Genomic DNA, 26,915 nt, shown 5'->3' with positions numbered 1-26,915 from the left:
AAGGTTTTTTCTTTTGCCCTTTGGTAACTGGCCTAACAGATTTTATGTTTTATTGAAATAGTTTGTATGCCATTATTATTAAGTTTGATTTTGCTTAGGAAAAAACTGAGATTTAAAATTTTTTAAGTTAAGGTTATTACATCCCTGTATCTTTCTGTATGTGCTTTTAAAGTACTTGTGACATTAAGTTATAGGGCTTTAACTCCTGGTTCTAAAAAGAACACCAAGTCCTGATAAATCTTAAACACTGACAGCAATTACAGCCTAATCTTCAGGCCCTGTAGAAGACACCAATCAAAATAAACTGCATTCCTGAGACACAATGCCAGAAATTAAAGCTATTCAACTCCTCAAGGCCCAGGGACTATTGCAGAAGAGGTGGGCATGTGAGATTGTAAGAGTCAATTTTAAAAGATAAAATAAGTTCATTTTCTCTAAATTAATCATTAATGTCAAAGGCACACTGATGCAAGACCAGCATATGGACCCCTGTGTCAGATTAACAAGGTTTTCTTTTTTTTTTTTTTTTGAGACAGAGTCTCGCTCTGTTGCCCAGGCTGGAGTGCAGTGGGGCGATCTCAGCTCACTGCAAGCTCTGCCTCCTGGGTTCACGCCATTCTCCTGCCTCAGCCTCCCCAGTAGCTGGGACTACAGGCGCCCACCACTACACCCGGCTAATTTTTGTATTTTTAGTAGAGATGGGTTTTCACCATTTTAGCCAGGATGGTCTCAATCTCCTGATCTTGTGATCCACCCGCCTCAGCCTCCCAAAGTGCTGGGATTACAGGCGTGAGCCACCATGCCTGGCCAACAAGGTTTTCTTGAAGCATTAACCAACTCCTTAATAAAGGTTATAAAAGGCTTATGGAAGTTATATTTTATAATCAAGATTAAATTTTATAAATTGTTTACAAAATTTTAAAAAACAAATTTAATTGGCTTCATGCTGTTTTTATTAGGGCTTCTTCTTTGGAAAATTGTCTCCTCTCTCAAAGAATGAAGGTTTTCACTTTTTAAAAAATCCTTGAGTTATCACTTTGGTTGAATGAATGACTTTACAATAACCTGTAATCTTATTTTGTAATATCAAGTGTTTAAAAAACCTTTAATATTTAACAAGCTTTAGAAAATCAAATTATGAATTATATCTTTTTCTGACCTAATTAATCCTTTAAGATATTGGGTTCCCTAAGGTCCAAAAACTACATAATTTGGCTTATTCGGTGTAAAAATTATACAGGAAGCACTGTCGAATATGAAATGGTGTTTGGTTTTCTTTGGGCTGTATTTGTATAAATGTTATTGGTATGTGTTCTAAAATTATGGGAAACTCCTATAATTCTAATATGACTTAGTGTACATTGCCAGTAATAATTGTAATTGTTTTGTTAAAATTATTGTGTGCCACAGAGGTAACAAATGTCCTTGTCAATTATGTCTTTGACTATGGCTGCCCTAAAACTTTTGGTCATCCATGGGCAATTATGTTGTTTTGGTCTTCTTTAGAAGGTGGTTTTATAATCAGCTATAAAACTCTAACAGGTTTTATATGCAGGTTTCTGTTAACTTTGGAGACTGTGACATCAAAGTAGAGGAAAAACTTTGAGGACTCATAGATAAAATGTTCATGAGTGTCAAACAGAACAGGAATTAACTGCATGGACTGAACTAATCTTTTGACTTTTTGCTTAAAATGTTGCTGATCCTTTGTTTTGTTTTTCAGAGTCTTGAAACTTCTCTTTTGAGCTATTGACAGCTTTTAACAATTTAGTATACTCCTATGAAAAAATTTGGAGCATATTTATTTCTCTCTACCTGATCTCCATATTTGTTTTTCTCTACCTGATTTGGGACTATTTGTAAGTATTCTTAACTTACAGCAATTCAGTATTTGCAAAAGTGCAGTAAGAATCTGTTTCCATTTGTAACAGCATACAGTTGGAGAAACTGATTACTTTACCAAGGCTTTAACTGGAATGGTGTGCTTTCCTTTAAGGAGTCAAACTTGACTTATGGAGCCAATAAAGCTCTTGGAAAAATTGGCCTCATATTTTGCATATACAGTCCCTGTACAGAGTTTCTGACCTGTGGTTAAGTAAAGAATGTCACTTTCTGACAGGCCCAGAAGCCCCAGGTTTATCTTGGAACCTCAAGAGGGAAGGAAATGTACCCAACTCATAGATATTTGATGGCGCAAATTCACAGCTGGGCTTAGCTTTAAAAAAGTCTTACCTGAAATTCCTTCTATGGAGCAAAGTTCCATCAAAGCCAATTTAAAAGCCTATGTAAAAATTAATTATTCTTGCTGTGCTATATACAAATAATTAGGTCAACTGTAATAAAGTAAACCAGTCTTACCATGATTTGTCCTTAGCAAAAATGGGAAACTGGAGAAGGAAAAATTACGTTTCAAAAAAACTATAGTACACCCATTGTTAGTTTCTATTCTTGCCAAGTGTTTTTCAATTTTTATTGTTCTCTACAGTTTGGACCAAATTCTAATTTTCTCTTGGCTACAAGTCTTCAAAATAATGTTTTCAATTTTTTTCCTTCTTTTTTTCACATTTTTTCCTAATTTTTAGTCACCAAAAACTAAGCTGTGCTTTCATAAAGCCCTGCAAATTGAAGCCAGACAACCCAAACGTGAGAAGAAATTAACAGCACCCTATTTACTTACATAAGCCACTTTTATACCTGCCTACTGATGTATGGACTTCAGAGTAATGTGGCCTATATCAATTTTCTAGAGTTGTTCTTTGGTTTGTTGTTTTTCTCCCTTCCTCCCCCTATTTTTTTTTCCATAGGACATGAGACCTCACAACCTTCTAGAAATGAGCTTTCCTAATAACTCTAGACCTACCTGTACAGAAATAAACCATCCTGGCCATGAGAGATCAGACAAAACCTGGGACCAGAGACTCATTTCCTTTTAAAATGCTTTCTCTAAAAGACTTTAAAAAAGAAGTCGGTGGGTGGGGAAATGTTAAAGGAAATTAAATCTTGGAACCCCAAACTCATTAAGCCAAACGGAAAATTCAAGCTGGGAACTGGGTCATGCAGACCTGCCTCCCACTTTTGGTTCCTAAATAAGATGGCTACAAGATGAAAAGCTACCTGCCTCTCCCATATTTTGCCCACAAGGAAATTCCTAGTAAGCTGCAAAATCTTTCAAGGTGTTTCTGTTAAAATTTCACCATGGCAATGTAAATTGATAGCTTATTTTACAGGTGCAGTCACCCCCAGCCCACAAGACACAAATGCATTTCTGGTTGTTCCTTTGCCCCATTTTTATCTATGTTATCTTATGTAAAATGCAGATTCCCTGCATTTTTCCTCTGTCCCATTTGTCTATGTCATCTTATATAAAAAATGCAGATTCAGTGAGCCACAAAAAAGCATGAATGGCTATTTTTGCCTACCCCCCTTTTTCATGAAATTGTGTACTTCTCAGTATCCTGCCCTTTCCCCTTCAAATTTGGGAGCCCTCAAAATCATCTTCAGAGAAAGGCATAGACCTGTTTCCCAGGCATGCAAATAAATCTCCTAAAATGATTGAGACTTATCTCATCATTTTTCTCAATTGACAGTCTTTTTAATTTCACAGATGAAGCAACATAGAAGCCTCCCTCAGTTTACAGGGACTGACGTGTATTGAAAGTCCAGTTGTTTTAAGACTCTGGAAAAAGACATTTGCCTCCCTGTAACCTTATGCCCCCATTGCTGGTAGCCCCTGCCAATCATTCCAACAACCAAAGCTGTCCTTGGCAACTTCCAAAATGTCCCAAAGTGGGCGATGATATTCTGCCTATAAACCACAAGTTTACGATTTAAAAGAAGTACCCTCAAACTTTTTATTTACATTGAAAGAATAGAAATGTTTCCATCAGAACAGAAGAAATAACATGGCACCAGGAAGATGGAATTAAGCCAATCAGGCAAAAATTTAAAAAAAAGAATAAAAATAAATAAACCAAGTCTCCAAGAAATAAGGGATTATGTAAAATGGTCAATCCTAAGAATAACTGATGTTCCTGAGGGAGAAGAGAAAATAATGTCTGGAAAACTTATTTGAGGGAATAATTGAGGAAAACTTCCTGGGCCTGGCTAGAGATCTAGATATCCAAATCTAAGAAGCTCAAAGAAATCATGCGAAAGTCACTGCAAAAAGATCTTCACCAAACTATACAGTCATCAGGCTATCTAAAGTCAGCATGAAGGAAAGAATTCTAAGAGCACCAAGACAAAAGTAGCAAGTAATCTTCAAAGGAAAACCTATCAGACTAACAGTAGACTTCTCAGCAGAAACCTTACGAGCCAGAAGGGATTAGGGCCCTGTCTTCAACCTCCTTAAACAGAACAGCTGTCAGCCAAGAATTTTATATCCCACAAAACTAGTGTATAAATGAAGGAGAAGTATAGTCATTTTCAGACAAACAAATGCTGAAGGAATTTGTCACCAGCACTACAAGCACTATCACTGCAAGAAATGCTAAAAGGAGTTCTTAACCTTGAAAGAAAAGTCCAAAACACACCAAAATAGGACCTCTTGAAAGCTTAAAACTCACAGGGCATATAAAACAATAACACAAGGATAAAAAAAATCTAGGTAATAATTAACATGATGAAGAAAACAGTACCTCACATCTCAATATTAACATTGAATGTAAATGGTCTAAACCCTCCACTTAAAAGATACAGAATGGCAGAATTGATAATAGATCACAATATAAATATCTACTGTCTTCAAGAGACTCACCTAACACAGAATGATTCATATAAATTCAAGGTAAAAGGGTGGAAAAGGTACTCCATGCAAATGGAAACCAAAAGCAAGCAGGAGTAGGTATTTTTTTTTTTTTTTTGAGATGGAGCTTCACTCTTATTGCCCAGGCTGGAGTGCAATAGTGTGATCTTGGCTCACTGCAACCTCTGCCTCCCAGGTTCAAGCAATTCTCCTGCCTCAGCCTCCTGAGTAGCTGGGTTTACAGGCGTCCGCCATCACACTCAGCTAATTTTTTTTTTATTTTTAGTAGAGATGGGGTTTCACCATGTTGGCCAGGCTGGTCTTGAACTCTTGAACTCAGGTAATCCACCCGCCTGGCCTCCCAAGTGCTGGGATTACAGGCGTCAGCCACTGTGACTGGCCGGGAGTAGCTATTCTTATATCAGACAAAACAGACTTCAAAGCAACAACAGAAAAAAATAAATAAATAAGACAAAGATGGTCACCATATAATGACAAAAGGATTAAATCAACGAGAAGATAATAAAATCCTAAAGTTATATGCATCAAACACTGGAGCTTCTAGATTCATAAAACAATTACTACTAGACCTAAGAAATGAGACAGACAGCAAAACAAAACAATAATAGTGGGAGACTTGAAGACACCACTGATAGCACCAGACAGATTTTAGGGGCAGAAAGTCAACAGACACAATGGACTTAAATGACACACTAGAACAAAGGGACTTAACAAATATTTACGGAAAATTCTGCCAAAGATCTGCAGAATATACGTTATTTTCATCAGCACATGGAACATTCTCCAAAATAGACCATATGGTAGGTTACAAAACAAGTCTCAATAAATTTTTAAAAATCAAAATTATATCAAGTATCTTCTCAGACCACAGTGGAATCAAACCAGAAATCAACTCCAAAGAGGAACCCTAAAAACTACATGAATACATAAAAATTAAATAATCTGCTCTTAAATGATATGTGAGTTAATAATAAAATCAAGATGAAAATTTAAAAATTCCTGGAATTGAATGATAATATTGAAACAAGTTATCAAAACCTCTGGGATACAGCAAAAGCACTGCTAAGAGAAAAGTTTACAGTGCTAAATGCCTACATTAAAAAGTCTGAAAGAGCACAAATTGACAACTTAATGTCACACCTCAAGGCACTGGAGAAACAAGAACAAACTAAACCTAAATCTAGAAGAAGAAAAGCAATAACAAAGATCAATCTATGGATACTTCTGACCCATACACTGTCTAAATGACCTACAGGTAGCTCTAGAATGGGGATTAGAGGGTTGGAACTTTCAGCCCCACCCCCAACCCTCAGGGAAGGGAGAGGGGCTGAAGGTTAAGTTGATCACCAATGGCAGGCCAACGGTTTAATCAATCACGCCTACATAATGAAAACTTCCATCAAAACCCAAAAGGACAGGGTTGAGAGAGCTTCCAGCTAGCTGAACACATGGAGGGTACCATGCCCACAGAGAGCATGGAAGCTCCTTGCCCCTTCCAACATACCTTACCCTATGTGTCTCCTCATCTGCATCCTTTCTCGGGGTAACCCATTTGCCACAAAATATGTGAGAAGTCCCTAGGCTGTAAAGCTGGGTGAAAGAATTAGGGCCTAGGTAGAAGAAACGGGAAAGTAACCAGGGCAACTTGCTGAGGCAAGATGACTTGGGTCTACCTACACTGTCGCTTTACAGGCTATGGCATGAAGTAGCCATGGGTTTCCCTCCTGCCTCTCACACACTGGCATTGAAGTGTCGGGCAAGATACTTATATTCTTTGGGACAGTTTCCCCATTTCTAAATTAGAAATGAGAATATTTACACTAAATTATTCCTATGAAGAATCAATGAAATAACATACCAAGTAGGCATTACATTGTAGATAAATTTGGTTTACTAGTTATATTTCCTTTTTTCCTTTAAAATTTCAAATTTTTTTCATTCCAGTTTTCTTTACAATTACATCTCTAGTATATGATAACTGCTTTTGAATGTCAAGCAGGGATATCTACTTACCTTTTTAAATGAATATCAGTTCAGAAACTTATTCGATTTAAATAAGTTATGTTAATTAAATAGCAGTGTAGCTGATGTCAGACATGGCATCAATTCTAAAGTTCATTTGTAAATAACCAAGGTGTGACAAGGCCAACCCTAAGTCAATAGTACATGCTGAAAACTTGTTTGCTGTGTGTGATGCCATGAAGAATAGGCCAATATTCTGGTCAGGCGATACCACACACAACTGAATACAATACTGTGTCAAGTGCTCAAGCATTCCCTAAGCAGCCCTGTGGTGGCGGACAGGGCCACAAGGATCACCACTGCAGCTGTTAGTTTGGCTTGTCACATATCCATAGATTTGGCCAATAGGGAGACAATGAGCCCAAATGGATCCCAGTGGTTGACTGCTTGAAGACACAGCAAAAGCAAGAACAGCATCATGTCCCATAGTATGATGCTAATTTGGAGGTACTCAGTGACAGCACAGATGGTCGATCTCTCTGCCTATGAGGAGCCCACAGACATACCCTAAGACAGTGAGCACTTTTATACTTTACAACTGTACCTTAAGATGAGGAAAGGCCTGTGGTTAACTGAAACTATGAAGATGAATGAAGAATGGCCTTGTGTTGGCCTTCAAGAAGATAGGCAGCTGATGAGAAAGTACCTGTGGCAGCTCCCACCATGCTGCATATCTCCCTTTGCTCCAACGAGATTCCAGGTATTCTGCCAAGACTCAGGTTAGCCTGCAGCCTGGCTTTGCCTACGTGATCTATATGGTGACCTGCAAGAGCTCCAGGACACCATGGCAGAGCCATTACCCTAGAGTGTCTGGCACAAAACCAAACACCATATGTAAGGTGCCTATAAACACACCATCTCCAATAATGAGTCCAAAACAGAGGAGGTGATTTTCTGTTAAGATCATTACAGAAGATTGATTAATCAATTCAATAGACAATGATTGATGCCTGCCACATTACAGGAAATATCTGGGATGCTGGAAATGGGAAGACCAACAACACATGGTACTTGCTGTGGGGGCTGTCACACTGTGGTGGGACAGACAGACCTTTAAACAGAAGAGCAGTTGAAGTGCAAAGGAGAAACAAAGGGAAGGGACACAGGGGAATAAAAAAACAATGAATGTAGTGGCCAAGAAGCACGAGGAAAACAACACAATTTCTTGAAAAGACAATTTTTGTCCATTGCCTTTGCACCTTTTCTGAAAATCAGTTTTACTATGTCTGTGAGTCTGTTGCTGAACTCTATTCTGATCTGTTCATTTTTTTCTCCAATAGCACACTGTCTTGATTCCTATAGAATTAACATAATTGACATATGGGGCTGGATAATTAAAAATCATATTAATAAAATAATAAATAAATAAGATAATTAATGTGAATCTTGACATTATGCAGCATGAGTTCCCCAAAGTTATCCTTCAGAATTGTTTTGGCTGTTCTGATTCATTTTCCTTTCCAGATAATTTTGAAAATTGATTCCAATGCAGTCAGTTGTTTATGTTGATGCAGTTTTGCTTTCAATGGCAGCAGATAAATATGTTAGTAACTACACAAGGACATGGGGGAAGAAGGTGAATTTCACCTTAGCTTGGGGAATGATCCAACATAGAGGGAGCAGTTGATGGTTCAGGAGAAAGAAGTGATCGTTGCAGGAACAAAGCCCCTGAGAAGGTGGGAGGCATGGGATCCTGAGCTGAGGTGAGGGGGTTGGCTTCGGTTATGAGCATTGTATGCAGAAGGGCAGCAGAGAATGCCATGGAATCACTGAAAGTGAGGGTGGCCTTGGGGATCCCTGACACAGTGGCAGCAACAGTGTGAGTCACCAGCAAGACTCTGACTCACTAAAATATGGTGAAAGCCTTCTTCCAATAAAGGAAGAGTGAAGGGATAGACATGATGAAGCTGTCACACCTGGGAGACTATGGATTTCCCCATAATGTGAAGCAGCAGCTGACCTGCTGTCTGTTATGAGAAATACATGTACTCCCAGCATTTAACAATAATCCCTCCAACTGCAAGAGAGCTGGCTCTCTGGATCCCTTAACCGCTGTTCTGTGCTGGATAACGGAAGGGGGAAAACTGCAGCCAGATGCTGACTCTGGTTTTGTCTTCTCCTGCAGGAAGGTAGAGAAAGGACCCAAATGTCAAAGAGCTTTGAGTAGCCAAAAATTCCTGAATGTTTGAATTGCTCTTTCCTCCAAGTGGGAGGGAAAAAAATCAGTTTCCTTGGCTTGAGCAAGCCTTAGATCAACTTTAAGCCTTAAAGGAAAAAAACAGGGAAAACAAGCCAGGTGTAGTGACTCCCACCTGTAATCTCAGCACTTTGGGAGGATGAGACAGGAGATCACTTGAGGCCAGGAGTTCAAGACCAGCCTGGGCAACACAGTGAGACCCACCTGCTCTACAAAATTTTAAAAAGTTGTTGGGCGAGGTGACACGTGCCTGTAGTCCCATATACTCAGGAAGGTGAGGCTGGAGGATCACTAGAGCCCAGGAGTCTGAGGTTGCAGTGAGCTGTGAGCCCTCCAGTGTACTCCAACCTGGGCAAAAGAGCAAAACCCTGTCTCAGAAAGGGGAGTTGGGGGTGTGAAGACACATTCCAGCCTTGTTTTCAGCTGGGCTGCGGCTACTGCAGCCACCTCCCAACATTTGAGCCAGGATCTCTCTTGTCCATGATACTTTTAATTCTGTGAGTGCTGAATTTACTGCAAGGAGCTTGAAGGAAATTTCTTGGAGATGAAAAAAGGGGGGAGTTTTAAAACAGCCTTCCATTTCTTGGTTAATACATCTGGATGTGTGACGATATTGACAGAAGAGGTCCAGCAGTTTGGCTACTCAATGCAGCAGCCACAAGCCAGGGATTGCAGTTTTCCATGCTTCTCTGGATAAATGATAGAGACAAAAGGGATAGAGGTTCTGTAAACCCATTTTTTAATTTTTTCAAAATTCGGAATTTTATCCTGACTATTTCTTAAACATGATGAAAATTTTTACTTAAATTATACTAAAATGTGGTTTCTGAAAATGCTTTTGTCCCTCTTGCATACAACCCTTCCAGAAAAGAAAAGTCTGGAGGAGAAAGAGGATGATTAAAGAGATAAAAAGTTTTCATCACAGAAAAGGCCCTCTCCTTTCCCTGAAGTTTGGGGGTGGGGCTGAAAGTCCCAACCCTCTAATTCCCCATGGTAGAACTACCTAGGGGCTGCCAGCCTCAGTCAACTCACTAGCATATAAAAGATGCCACTTCCTTTGGGAGGCCAAGGCTGGTGGATCACAAGGTCAAGAGATCGAGACCATCCTGGCCAACATGGTGAAGCTCCATCTCTACTAAAAATACAAAAATTAGCTGTGCATGGTCGCAGACACCTGTAATCCCAGCTATTTGGGAGGCTGAGGCAGGATAATTGCTTGAACCCGGGAGGCGGAGGTTGCAGTGAGCTGAGATCACGCTATTGCACTGCAGCCTGGTGACAGAGCGAGACTCTGTCTCAAAAAAAAAAAAAAAAGTCACTTCTTGGAGATTCTAAAATTTTTAGGAGTTGTATGCCAGTAAACAGGATGGAGGACCAAATACGTATTTCACAATATCACACTTGCTTACACTAGTTCAATCAGAACACAAAATTTCAAAATACTCTTTCCCCCCGCCTTTTTTTTAAAAAAAAACAAAGTTTCCCTCTGTCACCCAGACTGAAGTTGCAGTGACCTGAACATGATTAACCTCATCCTCATGTTCGACCTCCTGGGCTTAAGGGATCCTTCCACCTCAGCATCCGGAGTAGCTGGGACTACAATTACATACGTACATGCATACATTCATGCATTCCTTCATTCATTTTCGTAGAGCCTATGTTGCCCAGGCTAGTGTCAGTCTCCTGAGCTCAAGCAATCCTCCTGCTTCAGCATCTCAAATGCTGGGATTACAGGCGTGAGCCACTACACCCAGCCACAATTTTCAATAGTCTCAAATACTTGGAAATAAAATTAACAAAAGATGTGCAAGAATTCTTTGGAAAAAACTGTAAAACTTTATTGAGATCTTTTTAAGTCAAACATCTTAGATAAAACCAGTTTACGTTGTTTCAGCTTATTTTCATTCAAACCTGTGGTTGCCCTTCACCTATGATAGAAACATAAGAGGAGGGGACATTACTAGCAGAACTGTATTCAGATGACATTAAAGGTTTGCAAACAACACCAAAGTTTCACTTTTATGCAATGGACTAAAACCAGAAGTCTAAGAGTTACCCTTCAGCTTACATTCCGTTAGACCTCGTAGAGACTTTGGAGATAGACTTCCAAGCATATACATTAAAAAATTTTTTTAAACACACCCTACTTTCTAGTGCTACAAGAAAACCAAAAGACAGTCCGAAGTCAGAACACATTAAATCAAGTGAACCTATTAAAAGAGGGGTTAAAATAGAAAACAAAAGTTGTGTATAATTTTACTAAAAATAAAACCAACACTCAAAAAAACCTAAGAAACAAATGGAATTTACAAAAAAAAAGAATAATTTAATGTTCTGGCTTGAAACTATGGTCTGGATGTCAAATAGGCTCCTGGAAGTTGTTTGAAAGCTATCTTTTAAGAAAACAGTTAATGTCACATTAAGAACTGCATAACTGAAGTGAATAGAAAGGCCAGTATTTGATTTTTCCCTCTTGTGCAAAAGTACAAAAAAAAAAAAAACTTGCTTTAAGCTAGTTTATCTTTATGTCGTTTTTCAGGTATGGTAAACATTTGTCCCCAGTTTTCACCTAACAGTGCTGATGTCAACATGAATAATGACTCTTTTTTCACTGGAAAAATCGTACACTCATGCATGTATGATTTCAAGAACTATCTCCGATTGAATCTGCAAATCCCTCCTCCCCCCATCTCTGACTTTACCATCAACCTAGGTAAATGTACCCTTGCCAAACCCCAAAAACAAGAGACTAAAATGCAACCCAGTCGGAGCCGAGAAATCGTGTTTTAACGACGAACACCCCAACAGCTACCCCTCAATTGATGTACTTTTTCTAAAAAATCTAAGACCCTCCCACCAAATTTATCCTCCATTTCATACAATAAATGCAATAACTATACTTCTGCCCTAATACTAACATGATACTTTGAGCATATCCCTCTGAAAACACTGCCCCATATATTATGTCCTAAATCAATTATACTCTAATTATAACTAACCCTCTCGGCCAAACCTCTGCCAATTCAATTTTAAAGACCCTGAATTTCCAGAACTGTAAACAACCATTCGTACTTATTTCTTTTTCATATTTTAATTTTACATTTAAGTATTTATATAGTTAATGTAGCTTAACTATTCAAAGCAAGACACTGAAAATACCTAGATGGGTCCACACGACACCATAAACAGATAGGCTTGGTCCTGGCCTTTTTATTAGCTCTTAGTAAGATTACGCATGTAAGCATCCTTGCCCCAGTGAAAATGCCCTCTAGATCACCCGGATCAAAAGGAGCAGGTATCAAGCACGCACGAGTGCAGCTCAAAACACCTTGCTCAACCACACCCCCACAGGAAACAGCAGTAATAAATCTTTAGTAATAAACGAAAGTTTAACTAAACTATACTAATATTTAGGGTTGGTCAATTTCATGCCAGCCACCGCGGCCATAGGATTAACCCGAGCTAATAGAGCTCGGTATAAAGAGTGTTTAAGGTCTGCCCTCAATAAAGCTAAACTCCAACGAAGTTGTAAAAAACTTCAGCTGAAATAAAATATACTATGAAAGTGGCTTTAATACCCTGAAGACACAATAGCTAAGACCCAAACTGGGATTAGATACCCCACTATGCTTAGCCCTAAACCCTGATAGTTACATTAACAAAACCATTCGCCAGAGTAGTACAAGCAACAGCTTAAAACTCAAAGGACTTGGCGTTGCTTTATATCCCTCTAGAGGAGCCTGTTCTATAATCAATGAACCCCGACACATCTCACCACCTCTTCCCCCCAGCCTATATACTGCCATCTTCAGCAAACCCTAAAAAGGTTATAAAGTAAGCACAAGTACACACATAAAAACGTTAGGTCAAGGTTTAGCCCATGAGGTGGCAAGAAATGGGCTACATTTTCTATGTTCAGAAACTCTCACGACAACCTTTATGAAATCCAAGGCTCAAGGAGGATTTAGCTGTAAACCAAGAGCAGAGTGCTTGGTTGAATAAGGCCATGAAACACACACACATCACCCGTCACCCTCAAGTATTACTCCAGAAATCACTACTACTAAAAATTTTCTACACACATATAGAGGAGATAAGTCATAACAAGGTAAGCGTACTGGAAAGTGTGCTTGGACAAACCAAAGTGTAGCTTAACCCAAAGCATCTGGCTTACACCCGGAAGATTTCATCACGACCTGATCACTTTGAGCCAACTCTAGCTCCAAACCTCACTAAAAATATTATTAAATTATCTTAATCAAACCATTTACCCTAGACAAAAGTATAGGCAATAGAAATTTTTACCCCGGCGCAATAGACATAGAACCGTCAGGGAAAGATGAAAGAACTGTATCAAGCATCAAAAAGCAAAGACAAACCCTTATATCTTCTGCATAATGTATTAACTAGAAATAACTTTACACAGAGAATTATAGCCAAGTTCCCCAAAACCAGACGAGCTACCGAAGAACAGCTGAAAGAGCACACTTACCTATGTGGCAAAATAGTGAGAAGATTCATAAGTAGCAGTGACAAGCCTACCGAGCCTGGTGATAGCTGGTTGTCCAAGATGGGATCTTAATTCAACTTTAAACTTACCCACAGAATTACTTAATCTCCCCATAAGTTTAGACAGCTCTTTAGACCCTAGGAAACAACCTTCCTACAGAGAGTAAAAAATATTTCCACCATAGTTGGCCCAAAAGCAATCACCAATTAAGAAAGCGTTTAAGCTCAACATCTATCTTAAATTCTAGTCACTCTACTGAACTCCTAACATCACATTGGACTAATCTATTACTTAATAGAAGCAATAATGTTAATATAAGTAATATGAAAACATTCTCCATTGCATAAGCTTACATCAGACTGGAATAACCCACTGACAGTTAGCCTAATATTAATAAACGATATAATAAGCTCTTTATTATTTACACTGTTAACCCAACACAGGTATGCTCTAAGGAAAGAATACAAAAAGTAAAAGGAACTCCGCAAATTTTACCCCGCCTGTTTACCAAAAACATCACCTCTAGCATTACCAGTATTAGAGGCACTGCCTGCCCAGTGACATACGTTCAATGGCCGCAGTATCCTGACTGTGCAAAGGTAGCATAATCACTTGTTCCTTAAATAGGAACTTGTATGAATGACCACACGAGGGTTCAGCTGTCTCCTACTTTTAATCAGGGAAATTGACCTATCCGCGAAGAGGCGGATATAAACAAATAAGACGAGAAGACCCTATGTATGGAGCTTTAATTTATTAATGCAAATAAAAACTTAAGCCTACAGGCCCTAGCCTACTATCCCTGCATTAAAATTTTTGGTTGGGGTGACCTCAGAGCATAATTCAACCTCCGAGCAACCTAAACTAAGACTGCACTAGCCTAAGCAAGTTAATATATATTGACCCGATAATTTGATCAACGGAGTAAGTTACCCTAGGGATAACAGCGCAATCCTATTCTAGAGTCCATATCAACAATAGGGTTTACAATCTCGATGTTGGATCAGGACATCCTAATGGTGTCACCGCTATTAGGGGTTCGTTTGTTCAACAATTAAAGTCCTACGTGATGTGAGTTCAGACCAGAGTAATCCAGGTCGGTTTCTATCTATTTAACATTTCCCCTAGTATGAAAGGACAAGAGAAATAGGGCCCACTTCATAAAGTGCCCTCGCTCCACAGATGATGCTATCTCAATCTAACAAATCATCACATACCCTACCCAAGAACAGGGTTTGTTAAGATGGCAGAGCCCGGCAATTGCATAAGACTTAAAACTTTATAATCAGAGGTTCAACTCCTCTCATTAACAATATACCTATAATTAACCTTCTCCTACTTATTATCCCTACTTTCATCGCTATAGCATTCCTTACACTCATCGAATGAAAAATCTTAGGCTACATACAACTACGCAAAGGACCTAACATTGTAGGTCCCTACGGGCTGCTTCAACCATTCGCTAACGCAATAAAACTTTTCACCAAAGAACCCTTACAGCCCTCAACATCTACTATTACCCTTTATATTATTGCTCCAATCCTAGCCCTTCCTATCGATCTCCTCTTATGAACTCCCCTCCCTATACCAAATCCTCTAATTAATTTTAACATAGGCCTCCTATTTATACTAGCCATATCAATCCTAGCCATTTATTCTATGATCAGGATGAGCATCTAATTCAAAATATGCACTAATTGGCGCATCACGAGCTGTGGCCCAGACAATTTCAAATGAGGTCACCCTAGCCATTATCCTGTTATCAGTTTTACTGATAAGTGGTTCATTTAACTTATATGCATTCATCACAATGCAAGAACTCCTCTGACTGCTCCTACCATCATTACCCCTAGCCATAATGTGATTATCCCCACACCAGCAGAAACTAACCGAGCCCATTTTGATCTAACAGAAGGAGAGTCAGAATTGTCTCAGGCTTCAACATCAAATATGCCACAAGCTCATTTGTCCTCTTCTTTATAGCAGAGTACATGAATATTATCATAATAAATGCCCTAACTACCACTATCTTCCTAGGAGCACTACATACCATATATTCACCAGAACTCTATACCATAAATTTCATTACCAAGACCCTTCTTTTAACCACCCTATTCTTATGAATTCTAAGAGCATACCCTTGATTCTGCTACAACCAGCTCATATATCTTCTATGAAAAAATTTCCTACAACTTACACTAGCATGCTGTATATGACATATCTCAATGCCTGTCCTAATTTCTAGCATCCCACCCCAAACATAGGAAATATGTCTGACAAAAGAACTACTTTGATAGAGTAAACAACAGAGGTTAAAATCCTCTTATTTCTAGAACTGTAGGAATTGAACCTACCCCTGAGAATCCAAAATTCTCCATGCTACCTATCACACCATGTCCTAGAGTAAGGTCAGCTAAATAAGCTATCGGGCCCATACTCCGAAAATGTTGGTTACACCCTTCCCATACTAATTAAACCCTTAGCTCAACTTGCTATTTCCCTTATTATTTTTACAGGAACTCTTATCACAATGCTAGGATCACACTGATTTCTCATCTCAACAGGCCTAGAAATAAACATACTAGCCCTTATCCCAATCCTAATTAAAAATATAAGTCCCCACTCTACAGCTGTACAAAAGCAGCAACCAAATATTTCCTTACGCAAGCAACCACATCTGTAATTCTCATAATAGGTATCCTTTTCAACAACCTGTCCTCTGGACAATGAACAATAATAAACACTATTAATCAATTTTCATCATTAATAATAGTGACCCTAGTAATAAAACTAGGAATAGCCCCCTTTCAATTCTGAGTCCCAGAGGTAACCCAAGGAACCTCTCTAATACCTGGTATACTTCTCCTCACATGATATTGTGAAGAAACATCGATTATGTTTTAAATTTTCCCATCAACAAACATGAACATCCTCCTGTCTATCACAATTCTATCCATTATAGTAGGCAGCTGAGGAGGGCTTAACCAAGCACAATTGTGTAAAATCTTAGCCTACTCCTCAATCACTCACATAGGCTGAATAATAGCAGCACTACTCTATAGCCCAAACATTACCATTCTAAACCTATTTATTTTATCTTAACAATAACCATATTTTTAACACTCAACCTGAGTATAAGCACCACAACGCTGTCACTATTACACACCTGAAACAAATTAACATGGTTGACACCTATAATTCCACTAATTCTACTATCTCTAGGAGGTTTACCTCCATTAACAGGGTTCCTGCCTAAATGAATCATCATCCAAGAATTTACAAAAAACAAGAGCCTTATTGCTGAAACATTATAGCTATCATAACCCTACTCAACCTGTACTTTTACATACGCCTAATTTATTCCACCTCAGTGACATTATTCCCCACGTCTAATAATATGAAAATAAAATGACAATTCAAAAACACAAAACCCATACCATTCTTCCCCCCACTTATCTCTTCTACCCTCCTCTTACCTATCTCTCCATTAATACTAACTATAACTTAAAAATTTAGGTTAAATAAGACCAAGAGCCTTCAAAGCATGAAGATTACACTTAATTTCTGTAACAGACCTGAGGACTGCAAGACTCTATTCTGCATCAATTGAATGCAAATCAACCACCTTAATTAAGCTAAGCCCTTGCTAGATTGGTGGAATTCAAACCCACGAAAATTTCGTTAACAGCTAAACACCCTAATCAACTGGCTTCAATCTACTTCTCCACCGTTGGGGGAAAAGGTGGGGGAAGCCCCAGCAGGACTGAAGCTTCTCCTTTGAATTTGCAATTCAACATGAGAAATCCCCTCAGGGCTGCTAAAAAGCGGCCTTGGCCTCTGTCTTTAGATTTACAGTCTAATGCTTACCCAGCCATTTTACCTTTTTTTCCCCACTTATGTTCATTAATTGTTGATTGTTTTCAACTAACCACAAAGACATAGGAACGCTATACCTGCTATTCAGCACATGGGCAGGGATACTAGGCACCGCCTTAAGCCTTCTAATTCAAGCAGAATTAGGCCAACCAGGAACTCTGCTAGGGGATGATCAGATCTACAATGTTACTGTTACCGCCCACACATTCATTATGATCTTCTTTCTGGTAATACCAGTCATAATTGGGGGATTCAGCAACTGATTAGTCCCTCTGATAATTGGTGCACCCAACATGGCATTCCCCCGAATAAATAATATGAGTTTCTGACTTCTTCCCCCATCTTTTCTGCTTCCACTTGCATCCTCAATAGTAGAAGCTGGCACTGGAACCAGCTGAACAGTTTATCCCCCTTTAGCAGGAAATCTAGCACATGAAGAAGCCTCTGTGGATCTGACCATCTTCTTGCTCCACTTGGCAGGTGTTTCTTCTATCTTAGGGGCCATTAACTTTATTACCACAATGACTCTTTTTTCACTAGGAAAGTATTTCTGATTACATAATTAATTATATAGCCACATTAGTGTTAAGCTATCACTATTTTTGACATCAAAACATCAAATAAGTATATATCATGAACAGTGTGGCAAAAAAGGAAACAGAGATAGAGGGAAATGGAAAAGAAGAGTAAGACACGTGAAGAAGACAAATATTTGTTTCTAAAAGTAAGTGTGTTTGAGGGACAACTGGCAAATGTCACAAGTTCTACAGTCTTTGTGATGTTTAGATATTCAGGTATTACAGGAATATGTTAAATAATGAGTGTGTTCTTATCATATCAATAATTTCATCCATACTTTGAAAATATTAGAGTTCAAGAATGTATTCATTTTCTATTACGCCCTATATTCAAAACCTGTGTCTTGTACATATTCCATGTCCATCTTTTTCCATTTTCTTCTAGATAGTGTAAACTACTATATACTACTGGATACTTTATTCATAGCTATTTTTCAAAAGAACAAGCTTTTAAATTTATTACTTTTGGATTAGTTTGCATTTTACTAATGATTTGTACCTGTCTTTTATTCACGACCTCTTTCCTCTTCTGTTAGGTTTATTCTGTTGCTCTTTTATTATTATTTTTGTTTTTTATTATGATTTTCTTGTATCATGTAATTTGCTATCCGCTTTAATAAGATGTGCATTTAAGGCTATGATCTTCCTAAGAATGCAATTGAGGCTTGTTCAATAGGCTCCTGGAAATAGTCTGAAAACTATCTTTTAATGCAAATAGTCTAATGAAATGGTTTAGCAGTGTAGAGTAAAAACATCTAGGTAATTTCTTCCCTAAACATGGAGTGTTTCCTTTAAATTCAGAAGCTCTTCTAATTAACAGTCAGCAATTTGGAAAATATGTGTAAACTATGCTGAATACTCAGGAATTAGTGAGTTACGGACTTTAAACTTTAGATCCTATTAACTGACATCTCAAGACAGAAATTTATAATATGTAATCTATGATACAGTTAGAGGTGATTCTATCATATGTGTCTTCAATGTAATTACACACAGTAGCTCATGAAGACTAACAGTAGGGCAAGGAGCATGCTCACTGGCCTACATGCATTCTCCCTACTTCATGGGCCACAGAAACCTGTCTCCTGCCATTTTATTATTCAGATATTCAAGGCTTCACGGCTGAAAGGATTTAAACTGCCATTATTCATTAAGAGCCACAGAATTGGTCAGGCACGGTGGCTCACGCCTGTAATCCCAGCACTTTGGGAGACCCAGGCGGGCGGATCATGAGGTCAGGAGATCAAGATCGTCCTGGCTAACACGGTGAAACCCCGTCTCTACTAAAAATACAAAAAATTAGCCGGGCGTGGTTGCAGGCACCTGTAGTCCCAGCTACTCGAGAGGCTGAGGCAGGAGAATGGCCTGAACCCGGGAGGCGGAGCTTGCAGTGAGCAGAGATCGCGCCACTGCACTCTAGCCTGGGCGACAGAGCAAGCCTCCATCTCAAAAAAAAAAAAAAAGAGCCGCAGAATTCAGAATTTGACAAAATCCAAGAACAGTCATTCAGGTCTCCATATAGAGAAACAAATATCAAGCAGAGTGGTTGTTTATTTTCTTAGGAGCAATGAAGTCTCAACTCAGATATTATAATTGGACTGAAGCTGATTGTTATGATAAACAAATCATGAAAGTCAAGTATCTTTGTATTCTATCCAACAAAACCACAGCATGTAGAAATCAGCACTGAAATGGAATTTAATCTGATGTGCATTCACTATTTTCAGTAAGAGCAAACATGGGTGTAGAATTTATAGGATTCATCCAGAATCTCACAAATTATGGTAGAGCTGGTACTAGAATCCTCTTCAGTTCTCAGCACATTTCACACAAACTGGTATTACAAATGCACAATGTATTTGTTAAAAGCAGAAATTAAAAACTAATTCGAAAATTGTGAGCTGTTGGTTATACTCAGAAGAAAATGCTTTCACATTTGATGATTCAACATGGCTTTGACCCAATTTGTTTCTGTATCTGATAGTGTTTAAGTCTTGCAGTCAGGCATTCAGGGTCTGAACTACCTTTCAAAGAAAGTCTGTATTTGAGCTCTGTTTTTAAAGGGGCACTAATGTTCTCTGCTTTTATTATCAAAAGTATAATATTGTGGAAAACAGAAAGCACCTAATTTTGCATCTTAATGGATAACATACCTGCGTCTGGCATTTTAAAATGCTCTAGTTTTGGCAGAATCTTCCCCTTGACATCAGGATCATCTCTGCATTCATTCCCAGTCTTTGACTGAGACAATTCCTGGAGATCAGCTTCCAGGTCAGACACTTAAAAATGCAAAAATTATCGACTGAAGCAGACAAACATAAAATATAAATAAGGAAATTATAATATTCTTTTCCTCAGCGTTATGAAATAAAAGCCTGTAGGCTAGTGTCATAACAAATGTGATGCAAAAATGTTACAATTTCGTTTTCTCATATTATGAAGTCTTATTTTATTTTATGTATTTAATTGCTTTTTGAGACAGGGTCTCACTCTGTCCAGGCTGCAGTGCAGTGGTACCACCTCGGCCCACTGCAGGCCCAACCTTCTGGGCTCAACGGATCCTCCTGTCTCAGCCTGACGAGTAGCTGAGCCTACAGGTGAATGCCACCACCAAGGATAATTTTTGTATTTTTTAGTAGTGATGGAGTTTCCCCAGGTTGCCCAGGCTGGCCTCAAACTCCCAGGCTCAAGGGATCTGCCGGCCTTGGCCTCCCAATGTTTTGGGATTATATACATGAGGCACTGGTCTTGGCCTGAAATCTTATTTTAAATGACAATCTAAGGATAAATCACACTATACCTACATTTTCCGTAAGTTAGTTACCATTGTGTATTATGAATAGCGAGTGTCAACTATCTAAGAAATCTGAAGTCTGCCACATAAATAGCATTTTAATCATAACTTAAATGTAATTTTCTGAGAGTTTACATCAATGTATTGGCTGGCCTATGACAAGTCATACAGTCGTGACACCCATCCCTTGTTGAAATAACTTGAACATTTTCTGGTAAAATGAATTAAAGTTATGCTTAGGTCCAAAGGCCCTACATGTAACTTTCCATAGATGAATCTCATTGAGAATGAAGTACCAACAACAACAGCAAAATCACTGTCCTGCAGTGAGAGTACAGGAAGTTGAGTGCAAATAAATAACTGGGTATATACCCAAAGGATTATAATTCATTCTACTATAAAGACACATGCACACATATGTTTACTGCAGCACTATTCACAATAGCAAAGACTCAGAACCAACCCAAATGCCCATTAATGACAGACTGGATAAAGAAAATGTGGCACATATACACCATGGAATACTACGCAGCCATAAAAAGGGATGAGTTCATGTGCTTTGCAGGAACATGGATGAAGCTGGAAACCATCATTCTCAGCAAACTAACACAGAAAAGGAAAACCAAACACTGCATGTTCTCACTCATAAGTAGGAGTTGAACAATGAGAACACATGGACACAGGGAGGGGAATATCACACACCAGGGCCTGTCCAGAGCTTGGGGGGCTAGGGGAGGGAGAACGTTAGGAGAAATACCCAATGTAGATTATGGGTTGATGGGTGCAGCAAACCACCATGGCATGTGTATACCTCTGTAACAAACCTGCACATTCTGCACATACATCCCAGAACTTAAAGTATAATTTAAAATAAATAAATAAACCAGGATTGTGGACAGTCATATTCTGGAAACCCCTTAACAGTGAATTGCTAAATAATCCATGGCCCAAATTCTGTCAGTGTTTACCTTGAAAATGCTACCCGTTGAGGAAACAATTTCTGTTTCATGATAATCTTACAGCACTTTAAGTTTTCTAATTATAAAAGTGTTTAAACAACTTTTAAAAGCCTCTCAAAATCATACTAATATAGCTATCCATATGCCAGTGTCCTGAATTATCCAACTTTTACCAAACATACTGTCAAAAACACCAATGAAAGGAAACAGTGGCTGTCATTCATTGAGCTCTTTTCTGGAGTTTCTATCCTGCTTCACTGAACTGTGTTTTGTCCTGAGCCAATAATGAAGTACCTTATAGTACAGCCATATTTGAGTATTACGCATCTTAAGCAAAACCAGTCACTTTCTCTTACAACATAGATGATAGGAAGAACATAAACCTTGAAACGAAATATGAATTCTGTCTCCATGACTCAAGTGTTCTTTGGTAAACCTCAACCCATGAGACTCAGTTTTCTTATTTATAAAATGGGGCTAACATTCCTATGCAAATGGGCTTTACTCAGGGTGTTACAAGGTAGGGTGACTTGGCACTCTACGTGCTATTAAAGGGTGCATACAACACTGTGGACACCACGGTTGAGAAGATGATATAACATTCTAAGAAGATCAAATTACACTAGTGAAATAATGTACATTTTCTTACATCAAATGGTTTCAAAAATCAAGTTTTGTTGGAATGCAGAGCCCCTACCATTCGAACCTCCAGGGTGGAGTTGAGAAGTTGCAACACAGCGCTGGGTGCTCCTCACTGGACACCTCTACCAGGCACTCTACAGACCTCAAGGCTGTGGTCACCTAAGTCCTAATTTAGCAAGGACTGTATTTGCAAGCATACAAAGTAGATCTCAAAGAAAAAGAGAAGATTCATTATATCCAGAGACTGCACAAGACTGCAAACCATACTCTTCACTTTTCCAGCCAACTTTCAGCAAATGTTTGACATCCTTTCCTAATATTTTCTTTCCTCCTGTTACTGGTCATGGTATAATGTGTGATGCACACATAGGCCTCCTCCCCTTCCCACAGACATCTTTCGTTCCCTTCCCAGCACCTTGAATCTCAGCTGCACCCTGATCTTCTTCTCTTTCCTGACCAGGTGTAGGATCCCGACTTTCAGTTGGTGGTTCCTCTTCTTGAGACTCTTCATGACTGGGCTCCTGGGACCAGGAGGGATGAGTGTGTGCAAATACACTCACATACATCTCAGTAATATAAGTATACAGAATACATAGATACTTCTGATCATAAGTCTAAGACATTTCTCCAACACTATTTCATATTCTTAATGTTTCATAAAGTTACTCTTCCCACAGAGAGTTTACTCTAAGACAGTTACCCTCAAGGGCTTTGGAAGCCATTTTAATCTGTCTTGGTACAGATGTGTGCAATCAGTTATCAATAAGCATGAGAAGGAAGTCATGGGCAAAAACCGTGGAACAGAAGATCATCCATCCAGACAAAACCAGAACATAATCCTCTTGGATTAGTCTGTCCTTCATGAGATGCCATGATCATTTTTTATCAGCATGGAAGACCTTTACCAGTGTATGTATACTATTTCAACAACACTATCACAAAAATAACTTTCTGCTAATAGAAAACATTGAATGTTAAGGCACTCACAAGCAGAGGCACAGTCAGCTCAGAAGGTCATAAACTTCATCTTGGTATAGGCCTATATGTTGATCTTCCTTGGCACCTCATATTTCACTCTGCAAACAGAATACGGTGATTGGGAAAATGCACTTGAGAGGATAGCTATATTTGGCCACTTCTATGGACAAATGTTAACTTGTAATTTTTTTAAAATTTGGAAAAACTTTGAAAGTAAGTCCCAGGGCAAGTGTGTGTGTATGTCTTCTGAATCGTATGCTTGCAAAGCTACTTATGTTGGTCAAGCTAGCACAGCAATGTCTTAAGGCTCCTGGCAAAGACGCAGGAAATTTCTGATGAGGTTTTTGGTGTCACAATTGGACTCTCCATCATGGAGACATTTAGGAAAATACAGCCAGAGAATTAAAATCTGAGTGGCAACGGCTTATCTCACACACCCATTTGCTAGGCCCATTTGCCCCCTAAAATCAAGTTTTGTTGGAATGCAGAGCCCGGCCCATTCGAACCTCCACGGTGGAGTTCAGAAATTGTGACACAGCGCTGGGTGCTCCTCACGGGCCACCTCTGCCGGGCACTCTACAGAACTCAGGGCTGTGGTCACCAGCCCACAGCGTTCCCAGTTTCTAGCCTCCTTCCTTACCACGCACTTCGTCCCTTCACAGCCCTTCCCACCCACCCAGACTCCCCACCTAGGAGTCTGGAATCTCTCCTCTGTTGGGGGTTCCAGATGCTTCCAGGACTCAGATACCTCCAACAGCAACCCCAGCAGTCGCCCCAACTCCGCCTGACCCCCCTCCACTCCGTGGCCCTCCTTGCTCCCTAGCTGTGGCCTTGCCAAGACCAGAAGGCCCATGGCCGTGGTGCCGCATGAGAAGAACTACGACCTTGAGGCACTTCTACCTCTGAGCCAGGGACCACGCCGCCTGACCCATTCAGAAGCTTGCTGGCTCCTCCTCACACTCATTCTCACTTCACCTCCCGGGAGGACTGGCCTGCGGACCTACCCGCTATGTTTCAGTAGGGGAGAAAGAGTCCAGACAGCAGGAAAGCGACCCTCACACCCTCTCAGCCCCATAGCGTTTGCAACGTGCTGCAAAGGGGTCGACCAGAGGAAGCCTAGTGAACATGTGCACTGAGGCGGCCACCCAAGAAGCATGCACAGTGAGATCTGACTTTGTCTTGTGGGCTGAGTTGCCCCTCCTTGTCCCGCCACGTCCAGTCCTCCTCTCCTTCCCAGGTCCCCACTAAGGAAGTTGGAATCCGTCCTCTGTGGGAGGATTCATATGCTTAGGGACTCAAAGACCTCAAATAGTGTACCCCTTCACAACTCACTCCAAGTGCAACTGACCCTCCTCCCCTCTAGGGCCCTCCTTCCTTCCTTGTCTGGTCCTCCCATGACAACAAGGCCATGGCAGCATCACTGCCTTTTAGTAGAAGGATGACCACCTTGCAACCCTTTTCTCTACGTGGCCATGGATCCAGTCGCCTGATGCACGCAAAGACCACCCGCCCCTCCTCACACTCACTCCCCCTTCAACTTCTGGGAGGGCTGATCTGCGGACCTACTGGCTGGATCCTAGTTGACAAGAACGAAAGAAGTCACCATCTGTCGCCAGGCCCAGTGGCTCACACCTGTAATCCTAGCACTTTGGGAGACCGAGGCGGGCGGATTGCCTGAGCTCATGAGTTCCAGACCAGCCTGGGCAACACGTTGAAACCTTGTCTCTACTAAAATACAAAAAATTAGCAGGGCGTGGCGTCGTGCACTTGTAGTCCCAGCCACTCAGGAGGCTGAGGAAGGAGAATTGCTAGAACCTGGGAGGCGGAGTTTGCAGTGAGCCGAGATCATGCTATTGCATGCCAGCCTGGACAACAGAGCGAGAGTCCACCTAAAAAAAAAAAAAAAAAAAGTCACCATCTATCAGGGCTCTGCAGGGACAGGAGACAGACACCAAGGCACATGGGCAACAAAGGACTTGCCCAGCAAGGGGCATGCACACTATTAAGTCACATACATGCAGGGCCAGACAGGGTTTTCCTGCTGTCCCCAGACTCACATCCACAGGGTCTCAGGAACACAAAGAAAGGGACTTGAGAGATCTTTTTGTTTTGTTTTGTTTTGTCTCTTGCCAACCATTCTCATGCATCCAGAAACTTTGGGAACAGACAGTCCCACATTACCCTTAGTGGAGGACATAGAAAGACCTTTTGTGAAAGAACTAAATTATTTTCATATCTATATTTATAAATGCTTTTCTTCAGACAGGATGTCACTCAGACACCCAGGCTGGAGGGCAGTGGCATGACCATACCTCACTGCAACCTCGATCTCCTGGGCTCAAGCAATCCTCAAGACACAGTCCCCCCGAGTGGCTGGTACTACAGGTGTGGACACCACACCTGGGCAATTGATTGATTTATTTTTTTAGGCAGTGGTCTCACTATGTTGCTCAGGCTGGTCTTGAATTCCTGGGCTCAAGTGATCCTCCCACCTTGGCCAATTTTTATACATGCTTTGATTAATCAATTTTTATTTGGTTCTGTGTTTTCTGTCATGCTTGCAATGAGTTTAACTAAATTCTAATGCAGACTAAATAAATACACACCTGTTTACTATTTTTAGGTTGTGTTATTGCACATTTAACTCTCTGGAATAGTAACAGATTTACATGAATATAACTGTAGGTCATTCAGGCAGTGTTATAGTTCAGAAATCTCCATAGATGTTGATGGTAGGATCTAGGCTCAGTCTACTGTGACATGATGTACAGCAGTGGTGACTATGCTCATCATAAACTGCACTCCCCAAATAGCAGCCAAATAACCTGTTCATAAGAGAGCTCTGACATTATTTGCATAGCACTGTAAGGAAGAGCACTACCTCAAAAGAGCCACTAGTATGTCAGATGTGTACTGGCTTTAGGCACATTTATTCTGAGTTTGAAATCTGGTGTAAAGTGGGTCTTTTAAAGTCAGGGACAGTTTTGTTAGAATTGGGTAGGAATCATAATGATTTAGGATTGATGGAGCCAACAAGACAAGGATTTTTAGACTAAGGCTTCAAAGAGTTTTGGGATTGAAAAACGTCATTTGACACCTTTTATTGAGGAGTTGATAGATCTTTCAGGCAGTTGCTGAAACAACAGTAAAGTTCTTTGCAACGTTTATTTTCCTAGGCAAGAGATTCCTGTGTTAGTAAACATGTTGATGAAGCTAGTGGAGTATAAACTCACACTAACGTAGACAGTAAGCTGTGTGCATGATTCCTGTTGTCTTTACTTTTATATTACTTAGCAGTTTAATGTGGGAAATAGTACATGAAAAGGAAGCATAGGAAGGGGGCCCTGATCAGACGTAGCTTTTTGTAAGTAAATTAGAACATCTTGTTGAGCTGACTCCTATATATTCCATCCAGCTGGGCTTCCCTTAAGGAAATACCTTGAGTAGGAAAAGAGAGGTTTCTCAATTTCTCTGTCTCTAAAAAGCAGCTTGAGTAGGAATTGTGGTTCTTCAAGGTGTTTGTTTAGATGAAGTCTCACTCTGTCACCCAGGTTGGAATGCAGTGGCACAATCTCGGCTCACTGCAACCTCCAC

General features: G+C 39.9%; 1 non-coding gene and 6 pseudogenes across 1 annotated transcript; 5 read left to right on the top strand and 2 right to left on the bottom strand.

The window, feature by feature from the left end:
- Positions 1 to 10,889: 10,889 nt before the first annotated feature.
- Positions 10,890 to 23,411, bottom strand: LOC101060042 (X antigen family member 3-like; annotated as a pseudogene).
- On the top strand, positions 12,521 to 12,648 carry SNORA109 (small nucleolar RNA, H/ACA box 109). Its single transcript, NR_132964.1, has one exon. It is a non-coding gene; the product is annotated as a small nucleolar RNA, H/ACA box 109 (small nucleolar RNA).
- Positions 13,686 to 14,736, top strand: MTRNR2L10 (MT-RNR2 like 10 (pseudogene); annotated as a pseudogene).
- On the top strand, positions 14,821 to 15,757 carry MTND1P30 (MT-ND1 pseudogene 30; annotated as a pseudogene).
- NMTRQ-TTG1-1 (nuclear-encoded mitochondrial tRNA-Gln (TTG) 1-1) lies at positions 15,824 to 15,895 on the bottom strand (annotated as a pseudogene).
- Positions 15,965 to 16,996, top strand: MTND2P24 (MT-ND2 pseudogene 24; annotated as a pseudogene).
- MTCO1P52 (MT-CO1 pseudogene 52) lies at positions 17,391 to 17,921 on the top strand (annotated as a pseudogene).
- Positions 23,412 to 26,915: the final 3,504 nt, after the last annotated feature.

The sequence above is a fragment of the Homo sapiens genome, chromosome X (genome assembly GCF_000001405.40).
Source record: "Homo sapiens chromosome X, GRCh38.p14 Primary Assembly".
In the NCBI taxonomy this organism is placed as follows: Eukaryota; Metazoa; Chordata; class Mammalia; order Primates; family Hominidae; genus Homo; species Homo sapiens.
This window is presented reverse-complemented; position numbering and strand designations above follow the sequence as displayed.